This window comes from Homo sapiens, chromosome 5, assembly GCF_000001405.40.
Source record: "Homo sapiens chromosome 5, GRCh38.p14 Primary Assembly".
Lineage (NCBI taxonomy): Eukaryota > Metazoa > Chordata > Mammalia > Primates > Hominidae > Homo > Homo sapiens.
The window spans coordinates 97110947-97126731 of NC_000005.10; the positions used below are offsets into that span (position 1 = coordinate 97110947).

The window sequence follows — 15785 nt, forward strand, 5'->3', positions numbered from 1 at the left end:
AAGGTAGATTGGCTTTGTGTTATGGGCTTGGCTGAAAATTTATAGGACATTGAGTCACCAATCTTTCACTGAAGCTTGAGTGCCATCTCTTTTAGGAAGCTTTCCTTGACCACTCTCAAGTCTAGGCTTGGAGGACTACTGTCCAAGGGAGGCACTGACCACACTGCAGTGTAACTGTTTGCTAATGCTCTGCTCCCACCGTCTCCTGGCTGTGAGCTCCCTAAAGGCAGAGCCTATGACTTAGTTGTCTCCCGCCTCCTGTGACCTAGTTTGCTGAATAAGCAACAATACAGCCTAGGAAACTAAAAAACAAGTCACTGAAGCACTAGACATAATGTTCAAGAGATCCTCGTAAAGAAAAGAATGAAAGATATATACTTTTTATTTTTTTTAAATGAGCGCAATTTCAATAAACCGTCTATGGTATGTGTAACTTAGTCATATAAAAATATATTAATGAATTTCAGATGGATAATTGGTCATTGCAGTCAGACACTTTGAGATGACCATTTTTGCCTGAGCGTAGGGTATGTTTATTATTCTTTGGAAAATCAGTTCCCCATTAAAAAGCAAACAACGTTTTTGCAAGTATTACCTGACATCTGTAGGAACAGCTCATTTTAATAGGAATTTAGCTTTACAAAATCTATCATAGAGCTGTTGGAGTTTTAGAATTTAGAGAATTAGATTCAGATCCAGGCACTCTTCAGAAACAACTTCTATCTAAATAATAGCAATTTAAACCATCTTTTATGGAGAGAGAGACCTAGTAAACACTAGTTAGATAAAAGAAGCTATCTATTTTAAATAAGACCAGTTAAGTACTAGATCAAAAGCACCACATACGTTTACAACCAAATGGCACTGCTCGGGAGATCAAAGTGCAGCCCGGCTGAGAGAACAGAAAGAGCCTTTACCCAGAAAGCATGAAAAAGGACTACAGAGACCTAACCAATACCAAGATTTTAAAGCAGACACATGTCTATGCTCATTTTATTATTTCAATGTACAGAATCTTTGCTTAAAACGGGGGAGAAAGTGTTCCAATTAATAAGTACATAAAATAAAATAAATTCTGAGCCATCAAAGGGCTTTTCTTGCTATTGTTCTTGGCATTTCTGAAAGACAAGTACTTCAAAATGTCTATAATGTTAACCAGCCGCTTTCTTCTAAATTCTAGAACTACAAATCTCAGCCAGTAAGGGCTGCATATTTTTCTCTAGGGATCTTTTAATGGGACCTCTCAGCCCATAAGAATCTTTACTGGGGGAAGAAATTTAGCCAAACGGCAATCTGCTTGGTTGCAATCTAAATCAGAATGTGAATGTTGCTGTAAGAACAGGCACTGTTAAAGTTACTATCAAACAGTGGGAAACACTGTAAGAAAATAAAATATGGTAAGTGACAGGACATTTTATGGATGTGTCCAAACCAGTCGTCAAAGACATCGGTTGGGGAGCGAGTGAAGTATGATGTTATTTCAAAGTAACTTCCTGCTAGAGTTAGACTTCCCAGGTTATACAGTTCATTCTTGCTATTTTTTAGCCAGGCCCTAATCATAAATATAGATTTGTAAACCGTGTCTTTTCTGTTAACCATTCTTACTTGTTAATATAGAAGGACAACTTCTGTCCTTTGCACTTTGCGAAAGTGCAGAGCTGGGATATTTAAGTCAAGATTTTACTAAAGTCAGCTGTGAATTTCTCAGGCATGTGGAGCCACATGCTTTCCGAGTGGCCAGCAGACCTCATTCAGACATTTATTTTGATGTTCAGATGCCTTTCATTTGCTGGTAGATTATAAACCACTATAATCATTTCAAAGCCTCCTGGCTCTGATCTAAAATTAAAGTAAAAAAAAAAAAAAAAAAAAGAGTGACTGTGGCATTGCTCAGGAAAGCTATTCAAAGGCAGTGGTAGCCAGTTTGTAAGATTCCCCAGTGACCCCTGCCCCGTGGCATTCACACCCTTGTGTAGTCCTCCCCTGCACTGCACCAGAGTTCGTTTGTGTAACCAATAGAATATGGTAGAAGTGATGGCAAATCCCTTCCCATATTAGGTTATAAAAGACACTATGACTTCCGTCTTGGTCTCACTTGCCATCTCTTTATAAGAGAAGAGAAGTGGAACCAAGAGGAAAAGTCACTGCCTTGGGGAAAGTCACTGCCATGTTATGAGCAGTCCCAAGGAAAGGCATACATGGCAGATAACTAAAGCCTTCTGCCAGCAGCCATCTGAGTGAGATGGGAAGCTGATCCTCCAGCCCTGATCAAGCCTTCAAATGACTGCACCTCCAGCTGACAGATTACCAAAAGCAACCTCCTTCCAGAAGACCTTGAGCCAAAACCACTCAGCTAAGCTACTTCCAGATCCCTGATCCTCGGAAACTGTGCGAGACAATAAATGTTTGTAAGTTTTCAGGCTATTTCTTATGCAGCAATAGGTAACTAATACAAAGGCTTTGCTCACCACAGGTAATTAAGAAGTCTCAATGAAATAATCCACATTGCTGGCACTATGTGCTTGGTACTATGCTGAGCACTTTATGTTTATTATCACATTTTGTTACCACAACAATCCTATAAAGTTGGTTTTGTTATTATCCTTATTTTGCAGGTGAGGAAATAGAGGCCTAAAGAGGTTATACATCCCAAGGTCATGCACCTTAAGATGTGAACAAAACAAGATTTGTTTTGTTCTCTGGTCTGTCTGACTTGGGAGTCCAGATTTTTAACCACTTTGCTATTTTGCTCTTCACAGAAATGGCCACCCACTTTGGAATAAAGAGGACATATAATTTGCCTAAGGTCACATAGCACTCTCTAAATCAGTACAGTATTTTAGACAAAGCTTCAACTTTGCACTTTTATGGGTCATTTTGATATAAGACTACAAGGATATCTCCTCCCATGACAAACTTGACTTCATTTACAACAAAAGGCCAAGCAAGATACAGTACACTGTGGGGATAAATGGTACTCACTGAGGACAGGAATATGCTGACATTATCTCAATTTCCTCCTCCCTCCTGTTGTTCTCCTTTGGATGCTTTCCTGGACTATAGGGAGAAGGAAAATAGAGAAAGGCCAACTGCGACTAGGCCAGAGATCAGATGTTACCTTGTAGGAAGCATCTCATTCTAACCTTAAGTACTCTCTTGATGAAGTACGGGGCCAAGAGATTTTGGAATTCTACCACACAAGGTTGCTCAGCATTCCAAGAAGTATTGATAACTCTTCAAGAGCAAAAGTCATTTAAATTAAACTTCTCTGGCCGGGCATGGTAGCTCATATCTGTAAACCCAGCACTTTGGGAGGCTGAGGCTGGAAGATCACTTGAACTTAGGAGTTTGAGACCAACCTGGACAATGTAGCAAGACCTGGTCTGTACTAAAATTCAAAAACTAAATAAATAAAACAAAAAATAAACTTCCCTCGCTCTGATGAATAAAAAATTTCCCCCAAGACTAACTCATTTTGGCCCTGTATTTTATCATAGATTAAGATGACCAACAAGTCACCAGGACCCTATAGGGTACACTATAAAGATTGCTGCCAAGCCTAGGCCGGGAGTTTGGACCAATAGTTCAAAAACTTTAGTGTTCATAGTACAGTTACCCAGGAACTTGTTAAACATGTGTATTCCTGCGCCCAAAGCTGACCTACTGAATCCGAATCTCTTCAGCTATATGATGGTGGGGTCTGCATATAATAAGATTTGCGGGTGATTCTGACATGTGGACCCAGGACAACTCTTAGAGGAGTGTTGCTGAAACCTCTGCCCCTGCCATGTCTCATTTCCAACAGGCAGGAGCAGAACCAAGTTTTGTGGGGCCTGAGGCTTACACAATTTGGGGGCCCTTGTTTAAGAAAAACAATATGAAATTACAAATAAAAAGATTGGCGTTGTGATTTACAAAGAGCCTCTGCAGAAGCTTCATTGTCTTCATTGTAAAGCCACTTCTGCTAACATCAGAAATGCTGATTTCTCATTAGAGAAACTGCTTCTACCCAAGAGTCAAGGAAAGTAGCATTCAGGTTTAAAAAAAGTCCTTTATGATAGTTCTTCTACAATTAGATCCTTAGGAAGTACATAGCACTACTGACTTAACTAACTGAGGTCTCAATTTCACTTCTCTGCTTAACAGTTTTTATTTCTTCTATGATTATTTTCCAGGGTGTCACACTATGTAATGTTGAGATTTAACCAAGATTAATTTGTTGACCAGTAGGCTGTCCTGAAATAAAATAATGACTAGTTAACTATTTAGCATTAACTGAAGTTCTTATATTAATTGAAATAAAATTTTGGTAATCATGTATGTGTTATAAATAGAAATTCCTAATAAGAAATTAGTTTTTTTATTACTTATTTGTGAAATACTTTAAAACTATCTGTAGGTGTCTTACTGATTATAGAACCATCTTCTGGCCAAGCTGAAGCAATTTAGACATGAAACAGTAACTTTCCTGGTAGCCCTCATTTGATTAATGATTGTTTTCCATGCTTTGTATTAGAAAATAGGCAGGATACATGTGTTGAGTAGTTGTTTCTACATCCCAAGGTTTTACTGTACTTACATCCCAACTACAGTGCTTTCTTTAGGAATGCATATGGAAGGACATTGATACAAGTAACTTTCTATCTTAAACAACAGACTTTCTACAGTTATTCACACATGTGTTTTAAAGACATCAGGAGAAAAATGGTCTCCAGATCTAAAATGTATAAAACACATTTTAGGCACCTTTTCACTGGTGCCTCCCAATGGTAGCCAAGGAGTTGAAACACAGTCTGTAAGAAGCAGGATTAAAAAAAAAAAAAAAGAACAGTAATGTAATAGCTAATGTGACAGATTGTATCTATTTGCAGATTCAAAGCTGAAGATGCCATCTTCTCTGGGGTCAAGGGCAGGTCAGTGTTATTTAGGTGGCATTTATTCAATAGCACATGGTACCCAAGGGGTTTTCCAAAGCTGGGACTTTGCAGGTGGCAAAACCAAATAAATTGACTCTGTGAGAAGTGAGAATTCCTGCCCAAATCCTATCGGCTGTTAGGTCTGTCATTCAGGTGCTTGGGAACATTTTGCTTTTGTGACTTGGAGTCCGACTTTTAGCAAGTGACTTGCGGAGTTTGTGCGTACTGCCTGACAGCTCTGGTCAGTGTCACCAACACCTCGGTTTCATCCTGACAGCAAGCCTTCACGAAGAATGCCACAAACCAGACCCTGTTGCTAACGGAACCCCTTTCAGTGCTTTAAAACCTTGACTACCCTGACCGAAGCATGAACATTTGCATGTGTTCCAATTTATCTAATTGTGGATATATTAACATTTTTTCTCCTTCCAGATGGTGATGTGAAAAAGGGCAACCGTTGGAACTCAGTCACCCAAGTTAATATCGTGTCTATCCATAGGTCAGGGTGGCTGCAAATATGTTGGGAACAATTTAGAGCTCTGTGTGTGCTGGGGATGGGGGTCTTAGCTAGGTGTGGGGGAGGGGACTGCTCTGGGAGTCCAATTTTCAGAGAAAACTCACCAGTTCCTGTCAACTGAAAGAAATGTTTCATGCACATGGTGGGTCAGAATGTTATTTTTATAATATAAACCACCTGGCCTTCTCCTCGTTTACCTCTGCCGCAATGCTATTCTACACACATACCTAGACCAAGGTCCCTGGTAGCTATTACAAGCCTGTGTTGTGCTTTGCTCCTTGAGGTTTTATTCCTTTTCTTTTCTTTTTTCTTTTATTCTTTTTCTTTTTTTCAAGTTAAGGTGTAGACAAGACGAATTGATCAGGGCTCAAGATTTGGGTTTATTTTTATAGTTGCTTTGATGTGAAAGGAGTTGGGATGGGGGAGTTAGGGAGAGATGGAGTCAGGCTTTCTTCCCCACTCAGCAACTCACTGAGCTGGTGAGCATCTTTCTAAAGTTTATGAACTAGGGGCTGGGAGACTCCTGTGGAGATAGTCTGAAGTCTTTATTTACCATGGGGCCTTTCCTAATCATTTCTTTCACTACATTCTATATTTGGAGGTCAAGAATTTCTATTCACTTTGTTTAATAAAAAAAGAAACAGATTAAAGTTAGGGAAGGAGGCTGGGGAATAAATAAAGGGTCTCATTAAAGCAATATGCACTCCCAATTTCATGGGCAAGTCATTAAGATCTGATAATTAGCTGACATATGACTTTCGAATGGTTATAACTAACCTTCCCGTCTTTGAGTCTCATTAGTTATAAAACAGGATGCTTTCCTGTGGAGATTTCCACCAGGAAATACCTCCTTTAGAAGTTAAGTTACATTGCATAGCATGTCGTCCATCTGAGTCAAGGTATACCACCCTAGAGGCAGAGAAGAGGTCATGGATAATTTCAAATAGAAATACTAGGCATTAAAACAGCATTAGTGCTGGGCAATAGTCTCAAGTTTATAGCAGGAACTAAATCCCTATTTGGGATGTGGAATGTCAAGGCCAGGCCTTATTTAACGCTCAGCAAAAAGAGCATTACAATTCCATTGAGTCAAGTGTATGAATTAATCAGATTTTCTTAGTCATTCTCTACTGGGAAAAACTTAATTTTATAAACTTAGTTTATTGTGATTTAAATGTACTTTTAATTCCATGGACTTTGAGAAGACTCATTTAACGCATGGAAGTATAAAACGCGTTTTTATGTCTGGTAATGCAGATTAAGTTTGCTTACTGCCTTAAGTAACTAAAATAAAACAAAATTAAAATACTCCTCACCTTGTTTAAGGCTGTATGCTCCTTGGAAAAATAGTTTTTCTAGATATCAGCATAGGCAATAGCTTTGGTTTGAAAACCAGATTGGCATAAAAATCAAAACCCATCAAATGAATTCATTGCCTTTTAGAGACAGAGCTTGGCAAGGAGCTCATCTGCACTGTGTGCCACCCCGCATCTCACTACTCTGCAGCCCTGTTTTGCAACACCAAACATTGGTTACAAATGGAAAAAAAAAAAAAAAGGTCAATCAACAGTTTGCCTATGGAAGAATTGATTGTCTCAACCTCATAGAGTGCTTGGCACTATTCAACTAGCCTAAGTACCAGAACCCAGTGTTTAACACCTGTACTTATTTTCTGGGAAGCCATTTTAACAACAAAATACTTATGTGAAAAAGATATAATGCCCCGATGAGTGAGTGTCTCACATTCCAAATAGATCGAGCTATCACATTAATATTTTTGTCAGGAGGCATTTTTCATTCAATCATAATTCATGCACATAAATAATCACATGCTCTAGTACTATATTCGAGGAAATTTTTCCTTTTTAGTCAAAATAAGAATGAAATGCATTAATTCAAGTCATTCCAGCAGGCTATATGTGGAAGACCACGTCACTGACTTGAAAGCAAAACTTGAATCACAAACCCTTTAAATCAAAATATAAAATAAGATAAAATACTCAAGTTCCCTTTTGGATTTGGAAGCAAAAACAGCTGCTGCAACAATGAGTGGCTTTCCTTCTGAGTTCATCAAGAGGGGAGCCAGACGTGGATCTGATGGCCCTTGTATTGCTCTATTGTAAAAAAATGGAAATTACTGCAAGTTTTCATGGTCATGATATGTGGCTAGGGAAGGATTAACTGCCTAGACAAAAGTGGCATGAAGAAAATATGTCTAAAATACATGAAATACTTAATGCTTGTAATGTTAGAAAATTATTTCTTTTATAAAAGATCCAATAAGTACTAATGTGTTTCAATACAACTTTCTGAAAAAAAAATTTTTAATCAGTAGATTATTTTATTTATTTTTTAGAAATGCAGAAATAAAATTATATTTTCACTTCTCTTTTTCTATCCTGTAGTAACTTATGAAGGCCTGGTCTAAAGGCAGGGCTATGGCTGCTTTCTCTCTCTCTCTCTCTTTCATTCTCTCTCTGTTTCTGTTTTTTGTAGGTTGTGGTGTCAAGGCTAACTGAAAATTCTTTAATTAGCTTTCATGGACACAGCTTCCCATTTACTTCAGTGAGAGGCTTCTCTGCATAAAAACCAGTGGTTTGTATCCATCAGAGTCTTTGACTGGACTGCTTTCCTTTGATTAATCAGAAAACTAAAGTTCAGTCTGAATACTACTTTCCTAAAGAATGAATGAGCATAATCTCTTACAGCTTTCATGAAACTGCCTGAAACCAGAGGGATTAGTCCCACAATCCAGTCCCATACTCCACTTCAAGTATTTTCAATTACTTGGCACCATTGGTGGTGACGTCCATGGCTCAGTAAGAAGGCTACTGCTGGCATAATGGTTTCTCCATGTTTCAGCACATGGTCTTGGCATTAATAATCCATCGTGAAATGATTTGTAATGCACAGGGGTGACATTTGATTATGTGAAAGGCATTGCAGGAATGAGCATGTAGGCTCTTATAGTCCAACTGCTGGCAAAAACATGATGAAATGTTATATGGTGAAAATAGCATTTAAGATGGTTTCTGAACTGACAAAGAAAAGTGTAAGCACATTGCTTTAGGAGAAATGTTCTTTCATTTTTCCCCCTGGTTTTCCTTCTCAAGTCATATTTTGGAGGGCCAAATGGGTGAAGGGGCCAGATTTGGCAGCCAACCACCCAAACACATTTTCAAAACATACTTGATTCAGGAAATTCTGGATCTTTTTAAGCAAAGATGTTAACAGTCCTCCTGAGAGCCTTAAAATATGATGATTTAAACATAAAGAAAAGGGGACCCTAAAATGATCAGAGAAATCAGCAAGAGGCCTCCCTGCTGAAGTTTTCAGTTTTTCATTTTGTTTCCTATTTCTTTTCTTTTTTTTTTAAGACCACAGGAGGATGTTGAATTTATTACCTAAGGGAAGAGCTATCATTTTGGGTCAAAATTTATGAGATGATAGGAAAATTTATACTTCTCCGGGTAGCAAAAACAAAAACAAAAACAATAACACTAGAATTTCTTACACTCATATCTTCTAGATCCATTCACCAATCTGTCAAATGCATTATATTCTAGATAGAGTATAATGAATGTATGAACAAATATAATGCATGCCTGGGTGTGAGTACTGCCAGATCTTGGTTATTTATGGTCCTAAGAGTCGGGTGGGGAAAAAGTTGCTATGCATAAATTAAATCCAGAGAGAATCATAAGATATTTTTAATCAATACTTTTAAATTCATCCATTTTCAAAACTTTAACCACAGATATGAACAAAATAATATCAGCTGATTTTACTGTTACTGACTTTTCCTTCCTAGCCCACTATCTTGCAGATTTAGGTGAATGATCTTAGCTGACTATTGGTTACATACAAGAATGGACAAACATTAACTTCATTTATTCTTTGGATTTGTTATTCATTCATTTGGCTATTCACTTAACACAATTTATTAGGCACTTTATGCACTGTATGCGAAACACAGTGCTTGAGGTCATGGGGAACATAAGGATACACACCCCATCCCTGGAACTTACATTTCAGTAAAGGGAAAGAACATGCACATAGACAACTGGAGCATACGGTAGAAAACATTAAGCCTAGTAGAGAAACAGAGAACACTGCTTTGGGAAATCACAGGAGGTAGGGAGTTCCATCAGGGAGATTCAGAGAAAACTTTTTGTGGAGTCCTGGAAGATGGTCAGGGTTTAGACATGAAGAGAAGGTGGCAATAGCATTTCCTAAGTAGATCTCAATGTGAGTATGGGAATGGTTAGAAGAGGTCAAGACATGCATGAGGAACAGTTAGGTAGAAGCATTAAGTGTCAGAAGAGGAAATCGGGGAGATAAAACTGGAAGGGAAAGTTGGACCAGCTGTAGAATCTTTATTGCCAGAGTAAGGAATGTATGCTTTAATAAGAAAGTAACAGGGAGCCATTGAAGCCCCCCTTTTTACTTTCTATTTTGAAATAAATGCTACGCTTATATAAGAGTTGCAAAGATTGTAAAGAGTTCCCAGAAAGTAGTCCATATCATCTAAGTTTTCATGTTTCAATGAATAATGATTTATATAGTATTCTTATATTACACTCCTATGATTATATCCTCTCTTTAATGCTTAGTGTGGTGTGTCTTTTTTCCTTAATCGGAAATGCCAAAGATCTGTCTTTCTTATTTGTCTTTTCAAAGAAATAGTTTTTGATTTTGTTAACCAAGTTTGCCAGTTTTTGTCCCATTTCAGGGAGCTAATGCCCCCTGAAGTTTCCCTAAAGCTACGTATATGTTCAATCTAATTTTAAAAACAGATAGTGTACATATGCAGTATCAAAAAAGTCCCTTGATCTACCTTTAAGCAGAATGCTGTCTCTAAGTCCCACATAACCACAGAGCTGTGCTTTTCTTTTGTTATGATTCTGCTTGGAATATGTTGGGCCATTTCCATTTGACAACCTATGCTTTTCTTTAACTCAAAGAAAATTGCCTCTGTTATTTATTTCCTCCCCTCTATTTCCTTTGTCTCTTTCTAGAGCTCTTACTAAATTGATGTTTACCTCCAAAATTTATCTGCATGTCTCCTGTACTGTCTTCCATCTCTGTCTTTTTGCTCTAAGTTCTAGAAGACTTTACTTAGTTATTCCTTACTAATTTGGCTGTCTATGTCTGCTACTCTATTTGCTCCTCTTAATTCTTTATACTTATTGTTCTAATTTGGCCATCATATTTCATTTTCTTGCTCCCTGCTTGCTCCATTTTAATAGCTGTTTTAGAGAGAAATATCCTTTCAAAATTTTCTGAGGATATTAACTTAATACTCTTTTACATTCTGTGCTGCTTGAATTGTTTTGTTCTTTTGTTTGCTTGCCTTTGGTCTTTTATGCATTTGGTTTTCCTTAAATGTTTGGTGATCTTAAGTTCATTGACATAGATGGACAAACAAGTACATTAGTTTAGATGGCTGACAAAACCTTCCTCTATGCTTGAGAATGTCTGTTTCCCTAGAGGGGCTCCCCTGAATGAGAGGACAGCTGGGTGCTTCGTATTGAATGGGGTGTATTGACAGGCAGACTTCACCTTAGGATGCTCAATAATGGACCTGCAGGCACAAGTGGGTTGGAGAGCCTCTTCCTCAATGGCTGCCTTTCTTTCCCCTTCGCTGCCTCTCATCCGTGTCTTTGGTGTCCACGGTTACATCAAGCTCTGTTCTGAGGCTTCTATACCCACATTCAAATCATCCTCCTCAGTCAATTCACTTTCATTTACCAGTGGTAAAAACACACTGCTGACTACTGTTCGGAGTGGGGAAGGCAACACCTCACTGGCTGGATGGGTCAGAAGTTTTGAAAGCAGTTTTTGATTAGCCTTAAAATTACCCCAGGACTGCATTCTGCTCTTTGCATTTGTTCATGTGAACCTGGAGTTTCTCTAGCTCTTCTTTACTTTCACAGTACGTTTCTCCTATATATATTTAGACTGTGGCATCTTTGCCCCTAATAATTTGATTCTACTCTCGTCTCCCGGAATTGCCTCAAAGTTCATCTCTTCCAATGGCACCCTTTCTTCTTGCCTAGCACTATTGTGAATTTACTTATTTTAAAACATGTCTTTGACATTTTAGGGAATTTCAGACTAGAAAAGAGTTTGAAGAATGTGCTAAGTCCACTCCATCTTGATTCAATCTTGAGACTTTTTTAATTTTTATTTTATATTCTAAGAGTTCATCTTGTTGATTCTGGCCCATCTTTGCAGGCTATTTGAGAACTGTCTGAATATTCAGTGGCTCAGTTTTAGTTGTCCTTCCCAGCTTTAATTATGGCTTAGATGTCTGGAAGCCACTGATGCCAGTTTGACCAGAACATGTTTTGTCTCCAACTCCCCGCTGGACAATAGGCAATGTGGTCCTATTTTCACAAGCAGTGCTGACCACCAGAGTAGGAAGGAGCCCTCTAAATCCTTACTGAAGGACACTATCTCTACTTCTAAACCCCTATTTTACTCTAACAACTGTAATCTACTGTAATCTAATTTGTATCCCATTTTCTCCATTGACATTACTTTTCGGAAGGTTAATAAGGATTTCACATTCATCACAGTCAGTGGAAACATCTCATTGGACATCTGTCCTGTGGCTGACCGCTGCTCACTTCACCCTCAGTCTCAAGATGTCACATCTCTCGGTTTCCATAAATCCCCTCTTCTGGTTCTTTGTCTCTTTCTGGGCAATGGGCTTTTTAGAGAAATCTTTCTTCTTTTATTTCCCCCACTAAAACTGTTCCTAAGAGCATTCCTTGATCATCTTCTCACACCACACATCCTCACTTGGCAGTGGTACCTGTAGCTGTGGCTTCCGCTTAGAAATGTAGAAGTTCAACCCATATCTCTTCCTTGAGCTTCAGATCTTACTTTTTTTTTGGATAGGGGAGGGCGATTGCTGTTCTCTGTTTGGCTTCCAGGTACTTCATACTTTCTTCGTCCTCACCTTTCACATACCCGCTCCACTTCCTCCTGTGTTTCCCACCCAGTGGCCAAAGCCAGGGCTGACCACTGGTAAAGGTGAAGGTGAAGAGACTTCATTAGGCATGAAAGTATCTTCCCAACTTTCATTCCTAGTGAAGTCCCTTCACCTTTAGCTCCTGAACATACTGTGTTTGCAGCTTGTCTCCATGGGCACTCATCACTTTCAGCCTCTCAGCCATTTAAATCGTTTAAATCCAAAGCATCTTCATGCTGTGACCCGAGTAATCTTTCTGAAGTACATTTGAATACATCACTCTTCTGCTCAGAATCCTTCAAAGGTTCTGATTTTATATAGAATAAAACCTGTACTGCTTTGCAAAGTATGAAGATCTCTTATGGTTTGATGTGAGTGCCTACCTGTCCTCTCCCAACCGTTCCTTGCCACACATTAACCCTTATGCTTCCCTAATTCTGAAAATGCTGTGGTTCCCTATGCTAAGAGTGTCATTTTTTCCCTTTCCCATTGGCCAAGACATCATCAACTGAATGCCTCAGTTCACATTTATATTTCTTGTGAATCCTTCTTTGACTTCCCAGAGGCAGCATAGGTTTGTAGGTCTGTTTATTAAATTATACCCTTCCCTCACTCAGTGAAGGATTTGAAACCATGTAAAACAGATACACCTGGTAACAGGATACAATAAATGAGTGACTTCATAAGTTCAAAGGGAGAGTAAAGGTTAAAATATAAATAGTATCAGGTATGACGTTAGTCTTAAAAATTATATGATATTAAGTTCTGTAGACTTACACTACAAAAAAATGACCTGAAAATTTGCCTTGGGCTTTTTAGTTGACAAACTAAGAAACTTGATTGCTTATGAGTTTCACGGTATCCATAAGCAAGAAATAAAACATCTTTGCCAGTTATTGAAAATTGAGGGATAATTTACTCAATTAAAAGGGTATTTATAAAGGATATTGGCAAATTTAATTCCTTTCTGGTTGTTTTCATTCATAGGATATGGTACAACTTTGTTCACTATTTCCAAGAAAATTTGTAATGTTACCAGTTTACAAAAAGGTTTACTTTATTTTAGCCCAATGAACTTTCACTGACAAATTAATGGCTACTTCTTACCTGAAAGTTGCCAAAACAGCTTCCCCCTGGGAGGGTCACGTAACTCACAAAGGGAGGCCCAGGAGCTGGCAGTGACTCATAGACCACCACACCTTCACTTGGGAATGCAGCCTTCTGCTGCTGCTTGCTTTCCCAAAATTCCTGTAACATTGACACAACGTTCACTGAAAAAGACAAGAAACACCATCAGTTATTAAGGATGGACATAATCTGGTGCAAAACCAAAATTTTATTTGCAAGCTGGATTCTGTAGCATGACAGTTCCAGTTTAAGTAGAGCTGGGTATGTGGATAGTGGGGTGGAGGGGCTTTTAGCTGTGAAAGAATATACTTTATTTAAATATATTTAAAGTATGTTAAAATATACAAATTGAACCTGTTATTTACAAATGCAAATGTGTATATTTCTTAATGAGTAAGGCTCAAGAAGTGGTTTTGGTACCCTAATTAAAACAATATAGCAGTATTTCAAATTTACTCTATAAATTAATTTTTAATATAAAAATTAAAAATCTCATTCTGCTTTGAACATTTGTCTTAATAGACTTTATCCAGAGCTGTGATTATCTGTGGTCCTCTTTCTCATTTCTCATAGATTCTTAAGCCTGCAAAGATTTAAGAAGAGAAAGTCAGAAAGAAGGGAACTCTTTCATGCTCCTTCCACCCCAGTCTAAACGAGAATGAAAGGCAGTTGTAGAATAAGCAGGAGGCTGGAAAAATCCATGAGTGAAACTAATAACATGAAGACCTTGTTAAGAACAAGGTCTGTTCGAGTATTTCAGAAAACATAGTAATGGCTAGAGCCATATGTTTTAGATTAAATGACCTGTGATAGCCTGCAGAAGTTCCAGATCAAATTAGATTGGTTTGTTTATCCTGTACTGCAAATTAAATTGTAGAAATTAACAAGGATAATAGAATTGTAGAGTCAAAAGTGACCTTATAGGTCATGTAGGCAAAGCCCTGCCTAATGCAGGAATTCCTCGCCAGCATTCCTGACAGCTGCTCATCTGGCCTGTACCTGAACATGTGGAAGGACCTAGTACTTGCCACAACCTGAGGCAGCCTATTTCAACTGCTAATGGTTCTGTGAAAAGGTCCTTGTAGGAGTGAACTGAAATCTGCTTTCCTGTAAGGTTCATGCAGAGGGTCTACTTCTCATTTCTGAGGCCTCAAAAAGTTTATTTCCTTATCCACATGGGAGCCCACCACAGGTTTAAAAGCAGTATAAGACATCTGTTGTTTTGCTTGCCTGGCATTCACTTCCCTGCTTGTGGAAACAGCACCAAGATTTTCCTTGAACAATCATGTGGTCTCGAGGGGTGCAGGTGGGAATTTGGCCATAGCCAAGCCATTTAGGGACAATGAATGTGTTGAAAATGTTGAAAGTTTCCTGTTTTCAGTGGGGTTTCTGGAGCCGTAGGAGGTAAGCATGGTGCTGCCCAAGCAAGAAGAAAATCTGGCTGAGAAGAAAGCCCAGAGAACGGTTCAGTAAAGAGATGGAGGAGGGCTAAGTTTTGACAACATAGTTTGAGCTCCTGGTTTCAGCTATGCCCATAATCCAGGATCCTTGATTGGACTTGAAGTTATCTAACCAACCCACCTGCTTTTTCCTTAAGCCATTTTCAGGTGGCATCTCTCACATGCATATGAAAAGTACACTAAACAGTCAACACTCATGTTTTTTCAAGTTCTAGATTAAATAGTTTTTGCTCTTTCAAACATGCTTTGTGTAACACGGCATCTATGCCCTTTGCCATTATCCTGAATATATTCTTGGATCTGCTTTAAAATTCTGGACAGTGACATTTTTCAGTGAGTCTGGAGTATCTCAGAGTGTGATCTGGAGGCAAAATCATTGTATAGCCACTTTCTAAATGTTTACTAGAGCACTAGGTGTCTGCACCTCCTCTGTAGGTCACTGATCAGCTTCATGGTGTATAGTTCAGGCAAATTCTGGCAACTCCTAAGGAACTGGTTGCCATGTATATTTAAAAACTGCAGTGTTTAGTAATTTAAGAAGTGATTTGGGAAAGAAATTGGGAAAATGTTAAAAGTAGTGAGGGGATACTTGAGTTAATCAATAAAATACATATTGAATGGTCAAGTTGAGAATTGGTCATTACAGAGCTTTTTAATTTTTTTGAAAATATTTGAAATAATATTTTCTTTCTTTTTTTTTTTTTTTTTTTTGAGACAGAGTCTTGCTCAATCGCCCAGGCTGGAGTGCAGTGGCACGATCTCGGCTCATTGCAAGCTCTGCCTCC

General features: G+C 38.4%; 1 protein-coding gene and 1 long non-coding RNA gene across 2 annotated transcripts in view, besides 1 other annotated feature; one reads left to right on the forward strand and one right to left on the reverse strand.

Annotated features, from left to right (window-relative positions):
• The window catches only part of LIX1-AS1 (LIX1 and RIOK2 antisense RNA 1), a 40691-nt gene extending 37222 nt beyond the window's left edge, over positions 1-3469 (forward strand). The window contains exon 8 of the long non-coding RNA NR_187470.1: positions 2760-3469. This is a non-coding gene — a long non-coding RNA (LIX1 and RIOK2 antisense RNA 1). The remainder of the gene's footprint in view (positions 1-2759) is intronic.
• The window catches only part of LIX1 (limb and CNS expressed 1), a 50745-nt gene that overhangs the window by 19080 nt on the left and 15880 nt on the right, over positions 1-15785 (reverse strand). The window contains exon 2 of the mRNA NM_153234.5: positions 13520-13683. Within this exon, the coding sequence (NP_694966.3) occupies positions 13520-13683 (164 nt within the window). The remainder of the gene's footprint in view (positions 1-13519; positions 13684-15785) is intronic.
• Positions 12830-14029: an enhancer, noted in NCBI's record as "CDK7 strongly-dependent group 2 enhancer chr5:96459480-96460679 (GRCh37/hg19 assembly coordinates)". NCBI's record gives its function as "activates an origin of replication core promoter dependent on BRD2, BRD4, P300/CBP, MED14 and CDK7 cofactors, with strong dependence on CDK7, by STARR-seq in HCT116 cells {active_cell/tissue: HCT116}" and the evidence as "EXISTENCE:reporter gene assay evidence [ECO:0000049][PMID:35650434]".